The following is a 12,860-nucleotide window of genomic DNA, read 5'->3' as shown; positions in this document are numbered from 1 at the left end:
ATTTATTGAGACAGAGTATCACTCTGTTGCCCAGGCTGGAGTGCAGTGGCATGATCTCTGGTCACTGTAACCTGTGCCTCGCAAATTCAAGTGATTCTCCACCCTCAGCCTCCCAAGTAGCTGGGACTACAGGCGTGCACCACTAAAAAATAACAAAATTTTTTTAGTAGAGATGGAGTTCTCACTGTGTAGACCAGGCTGGTCTCAAACTCCTGACTTCAGGTCATCCACTCGCCTTGGTATATGTACAGTTTTTAAATTGCCATTTTTCTATTATCTTAGCATCCTAAAACTATAAAAAATTAATACATTTTAATATTAATAATAATATAATACTTTTAAATAATAGATTACATATACGCTTAAATTTCTGTTGTTTTTCCGACTATAGTCTACTCTCCTATATTACTTCTCCCACCAAGTTAAACAGTCAAAATTCTTTATCCTACCTCTACATTTATTTGATATAGTGCATGTAGTCAGTGATATGATATTCATTGATTATTCACTGATTTAAATAATTCAGTCCTTGAAATTTCAACAAATGCAGGCCTTGTCTTCAGTTGAATTTGTAGGCTTATGATTAAAAAATGGATCATTCTATAAACTCTATATTTTTAAAAAATATGACATAAAGTTACTGCTTAATTTTGTCTAATGCATTAATCTATATTAGGTCTCAAAGTTGACAACTTTGTTACATGTCAGAAATTAATGTAAGAGACATTAATTTTCTTGCTCTCATCTCGTAAGCAATCTCTGATTCGTTACCATGCTGCATGTCCATTGCAATGCTGCTCCCCTTACCTTTACATGACTCTGATTAGCTATGCATTCCACCACTGGTCACACTTCTGAGTTTCTTAGCTTGAGTTGGTATCACATGTTTGGTGCAAACTGTTTTCCCAGCTGGGACATGTGATATCAAATCAAGCTTTGCAAAAGTGAATTCCTATTAATACATAAAGGATAGATAGAAGAATTTCAAGTGCCATTTTTCTCATAGCAAAAATTTAAAAGTACAAATTACTGTCAAAAATGGTGATATTGAGGGGGAGTGGAGACAAGTCAGCAAATCTCTATTTATTATGTACATATAAAATGTAATTGCACTTTAATAAAAATTTGTTATGGCAGTTTTATATTTCTGTAATTGTGGAAATTAAAAGGTTATACTATTGACATAACTAGGATTGCTATAGTGATCCTAAATTTAGCATAAACCTATGCTGAGGATGAATGAATCGTCATCATCTTAACTGTTTTTTGCATGGCCTCAAAATTTAAAAACTAGAAATAAATTGCAATATATTTGAGAATAATTGCAGTTGTTATATAAAATTTTCAGATATATCTGTTTTCAGGGTTCTTCAGAAGTTAGATTCCTCAGCTGTGCAGATGCTACTTTATGGGAATAGCTAGTTAAGTAAATTAGTATTCCATTTGCATGATGAGACAGAGAATGAATGAACGACAAGCTGGACAACATCTACTTTGCCATTCATTCTCTCTTCCTAAGGTCTCTGAAGAATGAATATTTTTAGATTTTTCTGAAAAATATACTCTCATCCTTTGACTTGATTTGTGATATTTTAATGTGAAAACATGTTGTATAAACAGAATCAGGCCTTCACTATGTTGACTTTGGATTAAGCATGTTATATGGCCTTTTGCAAATTTTTGCAGTTTAAAAGTAGAGAGATAATTGTGTAGAGTTAATCACCTAGAGAAGAAACCCAATTATTACTTTACATCATAAGATGTCAATTCCTATGATTTCTTTTTTTAAAAGACCTTTTCTTGAAATAGTGTATTTTCTCCTCAGTAATTGTAGGGTAGGAGGAAGTATTATCAAATGTGCGTAACTGTACAGTGGTATAAAAGCTGCAATTACAAATTGAACTTACTTTTAATGGCAATTTTATCAAGTACTTTTGTTGATCTGAAAACTTGTCCTAAAAAATCTTACTAATAGCCCACATAGTTATTAACCATCTCCTGTGGTGGTCTGTTCTCTGCAAGAAGGGTCAATCATTTCTTTTTATGACAGATTTGGAATAAATCTTGGAGAAATGTTAATGGTATTAAGACAATGCTTTTTAAAGAAACATCAAAGTTACATGAAAATAATTTTTCCACAATCAACTGAAACATATGCGATTTTCTTAAATGTGTTAAATTTGCTATCTGGCCTAATATTACATTCTTAGGAGGTATGTGGTATAATGATAAAAAATTGTTTTTGACAAGACTTTTACTGTTCTCTGTGTTTGCTATATGTCTTTGCACAGTTGCTTCCATTTCCATACATGTAAGTTGGAGATATCTGTCCTGATTATTGTGAACATTAAATGAGATTTTATGTGTGTCAATCAATTATACTAACAATATATAAATATATGTATTATAATTCATATTTATATATCTTCTGTAAATCACAAATTGGCTTATGAAGATAAGGAAGGATGATTACTGTTAAAAGTCACTTAAAAGAATATTCTGAGATGCATATTGTTAAATTGCTTCAAATTTTAAGTTATTCCGTATGCGTATAGGGACATAGAAAGGAAACAAAAGGTCTGTAGTTGTGAGCTTCAGAGAAGACCTTTGAATTGCTTCATTTCTTGAAATTGGTTAAGTATATACTTTCCCCTGAAAGAATGTACTACTACATTGCTGCGACTAGAAAACCCTTCAATGTCCTTCAGTGGAGCTTTTGCTGACTCATTATCTTAAATACTCATAAATGAGACTTTTGCTTATGTAATTATAGCAATAAATTTGGTAACCTAAGAAATGAATGTAAATCATCTATTTATAAAGACAATATGAAAAGTGATTATCATATATAGACTATTATGGGTGATTTTTATTAAATAAATGGTAACATAGTCTGTTGAAAGGATACTTTGTGTTTTAGTTTTAAAAATTAAGATGCTTGTATAGAATTTTAAATCTTTTAAGAAGAAAGCATTAAAGTAATATTTTATCTATTTACACTGACCCCAAACTTGGAAATAAAGAAAAATGAAATCAAAAATGATTTCATAAAGGCCACATATTCCCTATGGTTGTCACTAGGAACAAGAAAACTACTTGGTTTTTTTTTTGTTTGTTTGGCTTTTTTTTTTTTTTTTTTTTTTTTTGAGTCTGTCACCCAGGCTGGAGTGCAGTGGTGTGATCTCGGCTCACTGCAAGCTCTGCCTCCCAGGTTCATGCCATTCTCCTGCCTCAGCCTCCCAAGTAGCTAGGACTACAGGTGCCCACCACCACGCCTGGCTAATTTTTTGTATTTTTAGTGGAGACGGGGTTTCACCGTGTTAGCCAGGATGGTCTTGATCTCCTGACCTCATGATCCGCCCGCCTCAGCCTCCCAAAGTGTTGGGATTACAAGCGTGAGCCACCATGCCCGGCCCGGAACCTACTTGTTAATAGTTTATATAATTTTAACAGTCTTATTTAACTGTATATTATTAGGTTGCTGAGGACTAGAAACAGCAAATTATAAGAGAAGAGCCTGTTATAATCAGATATTTTAGCAAACAGCAAAAATAAGTGGCAAAAAGAGGAAAAATATGAAAACTAAAAGAATAGATACCACTCACAAAGCACTGTTTGTGTAAGAGTAAACAGACAGACATACCTCCAAATAGCAAGGAAATTTAAATGTATTTGAAAATATATATTGCAAGATATTTCTTGATATGATAGAAACTAAATGTTTACTTGCATGAAATAAAAACATGTTGATCACAATATTAGCTATCCAAAATTAGTAATTTCTCTGCATAATAAGTAGCAGTTATCTCTATAAATTATCTGTATATCATGTTGTTTTAAATATCAGCTTTTGCCTGTTAGAGTTAATTGGTATTTACATTTTCTTAAGTTATTTTGGAGGCCAAAATTATTGCTATAGATTGTCATAGAAGTGTTAATAAATTTTCTACTACATTTTTGTATTATTGTTTTATTTTGTGATGTTTCAGTGTCACTCATCCAACCAAATGACTTACTCTACACTAACATTAATATTTCCTAAATAATTATGTCTGTATTCTTTCATAAGATACTGAGTTATATTTCCAGTAGGAATATAAACTGATGCATTTTCTTTTATATGAACAGAATGTTCACTAATTTTCATTATAGATGACAATTGAAACTATGTGGATCAAATCATTAGCATATGTTCGTTATTCTAGAATAGTCTTACTCTGGTTTGAATAATGTCTCAGGTATCTAAACAGTTTTTTATAGCACTTTAGACCACAACAAAAAATATTTTTCTCCCTAACAATATTATTTTAGGTAGAGTTCATTTTCAGAGTTTGTCTATTTTTTTCTACCCTAGGAAAAAGAAAAAAATTGTTAAATTATCCATTATTTCTCCTAGTACCTGTCTCAAAAAACTTTTACCACGTGCCCTTTTTAAATGATAAATTATAACTTATTATAGTTTTTAAATCATTTTCCGAAATATATCTGCTTTTTATGTTCGTTGAATGATCTTATAAACCGAGAGATTTACTGGCTTTATAGATATTTTGTAGATAAAAAAGGCCTTAGAAATCAATCACATATATGTTTCAAAATACAGACAAGAAATTTTAGACTCAGGAAGTTGTTTATTTAAAAAAAAAATACTTGTTGAGTATCTGTAGTGTGCCAGGCACTCTTCTGGGCACTGGAGATACAGTGGTAAACATGACAAAGTCCCTTTCATACTGTTGTTTTTGTCTCTGCTGAGCCTGTCATTGTCTCTCAGTGTTTTTCATAACAGTTATTTTCTTTTACTATTCTTTCTCTGTGTTTTATTTCTCTTATGTATAGTGTCTGTCCACATGAACTAGAATATGAGCTCCATGAAGGCAGGGTTTGTTCGTTTTTTTTTTCCTGTTTGGTCATTGCTGTACCTTCAGCTTCTAATATGATACTTATTTAGTAGGGACTCAATACATTTTTATCAAATGAGTTAATGAACTGAGTAAAAACCATGAGCTAGGAGCATGTGGCATTCTGAAAGCCAAGTGAAGTGTTTTTAGAACAGAATGGTCACCTACTGACAGCATAAAATGCTGCTGACGAGGCAAACAACATGAAGACTTGAAGATTAGATTTATCCAGGTACAGCTGTGATGAATGCTTTCAGTAGAGTTGTAGAATCTACTAGATTCAAGGAGAAAAAAAGCCATATTGGAGTATATTCAGGATTGGGTGATGAGGAAGTAGAAAGAGAGTATCTATAAAACTCATTCAAGGAATTTTGAGGGATAAGGAAATTGAGCTGCAACTAGAAGAGGGGTATGAGGTCAATGAGATTTTTTAAATGTTTTTAAATGAAAATTGTAAGCATGTATAAAATAGAACAATTAATTTCTTTTTTTTTTTTTTTTTTTTTTTTTTTTTTTTTTCGAGACGGAGTCTCGCCCAGGCTGGAGTGCAGTGGCGCGATCTTGGCTCACTGCAAGCTCCGCCTCACGGGTTCGCGTCATTCTCCTGCCTCAGCCTCCTGAGTAGCTGGGACTACAGGTGCCCGCCACCATGCCCGGCTATTTTTTTTTGTATTTTTAGTAGAGATGGGGTTTCACCGTGTTAGCCAGGATGGCCTCGATCTTCTGGCCTCATGATCCGCCTGCCTCGGTCTCCCAAAGTGCTGGGATTACAGGTGTGAGCCACCGCACCCGGCCAATTAATTTCTTTATACCCTTCATCTATATCAACAGTATCAAGATTTGTCATGCCTAAAAAGTTTACTCATTTTTTGTTGTTGCAGAAATATTTTGATGCAAGTTCAGTTACATTTTACCTGTACATATTTCAGTATTCATCTCAGAAAAGAAAAAAAAATGACACTTTCTGTAAACTGATGCCATAATCTCACATGTTGAAGTTAACAGTAATTATTTGGTGCCAAAACTCTGTCCTTGTCATTGCCTCAATTTTGTTTCAAGTGAAAATTGTTTAATTTGGGACCCAACCAAATTCTGCCTTACATTTAGTCATAACATATTTTAAGTCTTCTTTTGTCTGGAGAGTAATCTCTTCTTTATTGACGAAGCTGCATCAGTTGTCTTATAAACTATTTTTGTGTCTTTGCTTCCTTATGGTATCGTTTATTGTTCTGTTTTCAGTATTAATCTATAGTGCTAAATGTTTGATTAGATTTAGGTTCAACTACTTTTAGGTACATCATAATTGGTTCTGTGTGTTTTTTATTACATCACATCAAGAAGCATATAATGTTTGGTTTTCATACTCGTCATGCTAATGTTGATCATTGAAATCAGTTGGTAATACCTGATGTTTTTATTGAAAATTTTATATTAACCTTTCATCTGATGATTTTATCCATTTATGATCTTTACCAAACTTAATTTTGTCATTAGGTTTGCAAAAGAGTAATTTTCTAACTCTATCAATGTCTTTAAAAATTGTAGAAATTACAACATATTTCCTACTGATGGGAATATTCAATAGAAAAAAATTATGATGTAAGAAATAACTCTAACTGGAGAAGCAGTGGACTTGGTAGGTAAGGGGGCACAGGGCCCAGTGCATAAGTGATGGATCACCTTAGGTAGAAACAGGAACTGTGTAACTGACTTACCTAAACTTATAGTAGCACTGAATATATTTTATTAAATTTCTGTGAAAACTTTTCTATTAAAACTGATAATTGTATGTAATTTTAGAAACCTGTGCATTTTTAGCATTTAATACTGTATGTTAAATCAAAACTTAAAGTCATTGTAAATGTCAATGCCTGTATTTGACATTGCCCCTTCTTATTATACTTTTTGTGATTTCTTTCTTAAAAGTGCAGTTTTAAATTAATGGTCTCTTAAGCCGGGCGTGGTGGCTCACACCTGTAATCCTAGCACTTTGGGAGGCTGAGGTGGGCAGATCACTTGAGCTCAGAAGAGCAGCCTATGCCACATGTCGAAACTCTGTCTCTACAAAAAAATCCAAAAAATTAGCCAGGCATGGTGGTGCCTTCCTGTAGTCCCAGCTGCTTGGAGGGCCAAGGCATGAGGATCACTCTTGAGCCCAGGTGGTCGAGGCTGCAGTGAGCCAAGATCTCACCACTGCACTCCAGCCTGAGTGATAAAGTGAGACTCTGTCTCAAAAAAATTAATTAATTAATGGTATCTTATATACCTCTATCTTATACAAAATATGGGCATGTACTTTTATGTAACTGGTTTTCACCTCTCGTTGCTAGTGTGTTTCAAAGAGAAATAAATGCTACTGTTAAATAAAATGATAAATAACAGGCAGTTTAGTTTAGATACTAATTGAGCCTAAATCCTTTAAAATGACAAAACCAGCAACTTTTATGATTTATAGGCTCATTTTTTTTAACACAGTTTGATCATACACCTGACAGTCTCCCTTTTTTGTGACTTTCTCCTAAAAATTACGGTTTTGTGTTTTCTGAGTGAAAAGGCCATAAGTTCAGTAGAAGAATATGATAGCATCTCTTCTGAGGATTGTAGCATTTCTGAGTGGTAGATATAGAATCTCCTTTTTTCTTTCCTTTTTTTATGTTAATAGTTCTAATGCAAATTATGTAATTTAATTTTCAAACAGTATGTACTGCAATTGTGAACCTGTGAACTATTTTCAATTGTCCCACAGATGCTAATATGTGAAATTTAGCTTTAGACAGTCATAATTCTTTATGGCTCAGTAATTTCCACTCACTATCTGTTAGTCTCTGCAATCTGAAAAGTATAGGGGCTACTGTGTGGTCTGACATGGTTTGTATTATCAGAATTTTATTGACAGCATAGATTTATAATCTCTTTAGTTATTTAGAGCCATGTTTTTTTTTTTTTTTTTTTTTTTTTTATCTCTATCTAAGTTAGACTGTTTTGGCATCCACAAAAGAGCACTCTGTAGTTGTCTCCAAAAACAAGAATGTAATCTGATCTGTTTTCATATTGTCTGCTGACCTGGATAAGAACACTTTGTATTAGCTACATTGATCAGTTCCTATCCTTTCTAGTCATTTATTGGACACTTAATACAACCTTGTAAAGACTCCCTAGAGTATCCCCATAAACTAGATCATTTTATGCAGGAACCACAATATGTATATCAAGATAGACAAGAATGAGAAAAGCTGATTAAGAGAAACTGGAAAAATTAAACCCACAGACTCACATTATGTTTTTCAGGCTTTATCCACCCTTACAAATGAAAGCCATATACATGGTCTATTGAAATGTTTTGTAAAATCCAGGAAACTTAGATTTTTATAGATCTGAATTTTCATTGTTTAAAATATGACAATTTTATTTAGGTATATCTCTAAGTTTTTCTTTTATTTCTGCTTCTAATTCCTGTAATCTAATTCTGTCTTCTAGAAGTATTAATGATATTCTTTTACTATTATTTTAATTTCAAAACTACTAGAAAATTGGTCTGTGTGTCAGAATCTTTAAAGCAGTATAAACTCCTTATGACTTTTTAAATATTTGTAGTTTCACAAATTTGTCCTTCAGAATGTATTTTAAAACATTTTACAAAGTACCTTGAAATTTTGAAACAGTAGCACCAAAAGGAAATATGTTAGGTAATTGAAAATATTTCCATTAATTCAAAAACTCTTTTATAAATTTTAAAATCCCATTTTTTGGAAAATTTTAACAACTGTTTAGAAAAGAAATACTTATTTCTTAGAAGCAAGTTCATGTGTTATGTTGGGTCACTGAGAAGATTACAGTGGAATACCAGGCTTCTACAATAAGCCTGAGAATAATCTGAAAAACTAATTTATTTTTATTGCCTTAATGTATATCTGTAAAGTATAAAATAGGTGATACGACCTGTGTGTTAGACACAGTTTCACCTTAGTCTTGTCTTGCATCATATATTTACATTTTATTCACAAGATATTAAATAAATACTATTAATAATATCTTTAACAAATATTTGTGAATTTCAAGTTTCATAAACTATTTAAATTTCATGTTTAGTCCTAATATTCTTTTTATTAAAATTATATCATCAATAAAGACAGCACTGATTCATTTATCCAACAAATGTTTACAGTGTACCTATTGTGTGCCAGAAGCTATTCTAAACTTTGAGGATACTACAGCACAAAACAAAACAAATTTACACTCCACGTAGAGCTTATATTCTAGTGAAAAAGTAAAAAAAAAAACAATGTAAAATATCGGGTAACAAGTGTTGCTATGATTAAAGGAAGAGCGTGGTAAGTGATGGAACAACTTGTACCATCTATGTTGTTACCACCATTATTTTCAGACTGTAATGTCCTACAATTCTCTGGTTTTATGTCGGTTTTTTTCCCCCTGAAGAGTAAGCTCTTTGAAAACTGGGTTTATAGATCTTTACTGGCATGTTACCAGTTTCTAACCCTAAGTTCTTTTATAAGTACTCAATAAGTATTTGTTATGTCAATGAATCAGTGATATGTTCACAACTTCTCTGGATCTCTGATTGAGCTGCAATCCAAATGCCCTTTTTGAGACCAAAACAACTAGAACGGAATTTATAAAAGGAATCATGAGAAGAGACATGTATATATTACGTGTGGTTCAATTAAATGTTTTACGTTAGAGTTCTGCATTTTACATTTTTTTGGCGTTATGATATCATCCTTTTTCATAATTTTTTTAATGCAAAGTGTGGAATATTTTCTGAAAATCAATGTTTTATCCACAGGTACTACTGAGCGAGTGTGCTTGATCCAGGGAACGGTTGAAGCACTGAATGCAGTTCATGGATTCATTGCAGAAAAAATTCGAGAAATGCCCCAAAATGTGGCCAAGACAGAACCAGTCAGCATTCTACAACCCCAGACCACCGTTAATCCAGATCGCATCAAACAAGTGAGTGTTTAGTTGAGAAATCAAAGAGAAATATCCACAGCATAGTATAAGTTCCTTACAAAAGAAGCCTTAAAGTGTTAGCATAAAACTTTTATTTTAAGCACACATAAAACATACCAGAGTTGTCATTTAGTTATTTAAAGACTATCAAGGTCTCATCCTTAGATTGATCAGTTAATTTATTGATCAATTGAATTATTCATTTATTAGTGTTACATTGAGGAGCACTTATGTGACTCTTAGTGATTGCCCTTTTTAAATTTATAGACACAAATTTAATTTATAGGAATTGAATCTGTTTAAAATTATATCACTTTTTAAATAAAGTATAAGTATTTCAATGATACATTCAAAATTTCCAATACCCTATTTTTAGTGATATTTGTAGTTTTCAGGATAGTTATTATGCATAGAGGCTCCTGTTTTGTTAATTTTGTTGTCATGTTCTCATTTTTTATCAAAAAAATGTATAGTAAATTTATGTACCTACCATACAGTCCTTTGTTACAAATCAGTTACTGTGTTTTGTGTAACTTATGTAGTATTTAAACATATGTCATAAAGGGCCAATGTTCATTTTTAATGTACGAGATTTTTTGTAAAAAATTTTACTTGGGAAAAACTGATGTGAGTTTTTAAGATTGAATAATGGGTGACATGATGTAGGGGGAAAATGACATTATTTCATGTTAAATAAGGTGGATTCTTCCACCGTAAACTCTTTTACGTCTATAAATTTATTATGTTCATAATTATTGTTTCTGCCTTTGCCTTTTTATAATTAGCGTCTTAATTTGTGACGTAATTTTACTATCACAGACTATGGCTTCAAAAGAAATGTATTATTCTTCAGTAATTCACAGAATATTTAATTTACAGAATACTCATGTTCATTGTAATAAATTTGAAATGTAGCTCAAAGTCTTATTAATTTCATGTTTCTGAATTTAAAAAGTATTATACTGAACAGTGTTATGAATCCTATAATTTTACCAATATATAGATAAATATAATGTTGAATAATGAAATATAAACATAGAAATTGATAATTAGGCAATATATTTTCAAATTATAGACTAATGTCTAATTTTATACTAATTACTTTTTTAAAAAAATCCCTTTATGTTTAAATCATGAGTAGGTAGTTGTTATTCTATACAAAAATGTTCATATTATAATCTTTGTCAGTGTCAAATGGTTCAGTTTATACCCTTCATAAGTCTTAAAAGAAGTATCCCTTAATGTATACATGGGAGAATATAAATATTTTAAAGCTGTAAAATCAGTGGATATTTTATTTTTCACAGTCATTTATAGTTGTGTTTATTTTTTTTACCCTCAGTGAATACAAAGAGTAGTTTGAAGACTGAATTCTTGAAAGTAATACTGTGACTTTAATCAGAGTTTAAAAGTAGAAGTGTAGTTAAAGACTTAGGTTAAAATCACCTGGGGCTAAGAGTTTACAGAATAAGCACTGAAGTATAAGGTCTATTGGCTTTCTGCCTTAATCCAGCCTATAAGTTCCTCCTTTTCTTTTGTAATTTCTGTGAGAAAATTCAAACATTTAGGGATAGAAGCCAATATCTTGATTTTTTTTTAAGTAAAACATAAAATTTAGTAGTATGATACCATTGACAATATGTTCAGGACGGTGATATGAATTATTATTATTTTTTATAAGAATAAATATCTCATACCACCAAATAATGGTCTATGAATCATTGTTAAAATTCTAATTTGCTATATGGCAGTATGAGATTTACAGGCTATCATATATCCAGTGCCAGTATAGATTTATGAAGACTAGAATTTTAAAATATTTGCTTTATTTTTATTTGCCTTTTTGGATGTTATTTAACTTCAAGATAAGTATAAAAAATAATAGTGATTTATTGACTTTTGTGTATTTGCATCCATTTGTAAGACTTGTAGGTATTCATGGAATTAGAAGTATTGTTGGTTATTTAATATTTTCATGTAATCAATAATGTATGTGACAGTGTATCATTTAAAAGGATTTATTAAAAAGACAACACTAAATCTAATAAGACATTGTATTTAACACTTACATATTTTCTTTATATTATAAAAGTTGAAAATTTTACTTGAAAAATCTAGTAAAGCAGTGAAATGTATTTCCAAAATATTATAAATCAGTCAGACCTTTTGCTCTAAGTTTGGGATTCTCTGACTTTCTAGGTATCCAATTTTACCAACGTAGTACTCTTTGCTGGATTATTCTCTAAATAATAAATATATAAATTTAAATGACCTTAATTTTACTTCTGAAAAATTATGCTGTTATTCAGTATAAAATAGTTATGTCTAAAATCATTTTGCAATAGAATAGATTAAAATACATTTTGTATGTTTCTTATGTATGTTTTAAACTAAGTAAATTGAATGAACCAGGTATTTTATCCAATTGAAAACTGCCCTTATTGACTGAGTGGGTTCTCAGACAAGTATAATTTCTTGGGAAAGTAGTGCCTGCTGGTCTCTCAGGTCTTTCATATAGTAGAATAATGAAATTTAGCACAATGGCCTTATATATAACTTGATATATTAGATCTTGTGGAATATTTAATTCTTAATTCATATATGTATTTTTTCTAAAAGCTACATCAGGGAAGAAGTAGTTATGGACATTTAAAGAATTCTCTTGTATTTAAAAAAAATCAAAGTAAGATATCAAAAATATTTCATTTAACCCTAAGAGTTTTACTGTCGTCATGATAAATTGACAAAAATAGCACTTGTTAATTTGTTTGTTCATTATTCATGGGCATGAATAATTATGAATTTACTAAATGCCTTCTTAGTAAGTAGCAAAATATACTAAACTGTAGCCCTTGCAGACCAGTTTGTGAGATAAGTACTTAAAATAACTTATAAAAATTAAAATTGTATTTATATACCAAAACTACAATGTAAACAATATGCTATAAAAATTCAGAGGCGTGGCCAGGCACTGTGGCTCACGCCTGTAATCCC

The 12,860-nt window shown here is 31.2% G+C and overlaps 1 protein-coding gene across 13 annotated transcripts in view; it reads left to right on the top strand.

The window, feature by feature from the left end:
- Positions 1-12,860, top strand: part of NOVA1 (NOVA alternative splicing regulator 1) — a 154,944-nt gene that overhangs the window by 108,191 nt on the left and 33,893 nt on the right. For all 13 annotated transcript variants that reach the window (NM_001366392.2, NM_006489.3, NM_002515.3 and 10 more), the window contains one exon: positions 9,700-9,866. In NM_001366392.2, coding sequence (NP_001353321.1) covers positions 9,700-9,866 — 167 coding nt within the window. The remainder of the gene's footprint in view (positions 1-9,699; positions 9,867-12,860) is intronic.

This window comes from Homo sapiens, chromosome 14 (genome assembly GCF_000001405.40).
Source record: "Homo sapiens chromosome 14, GRCh38.p14 Primary Assembly".
In the NCBI taxonomy this organism is placed as follows: Eukaryota; Metazoa; Chordata; class Mammalia; order Primates; family Hominidae; genus Homo; species Homo sapiens.
Note: the sequence above shows the minus strand (reverse complement) of the source record. Positions and strands in the feature narration are given on the sequence as shown.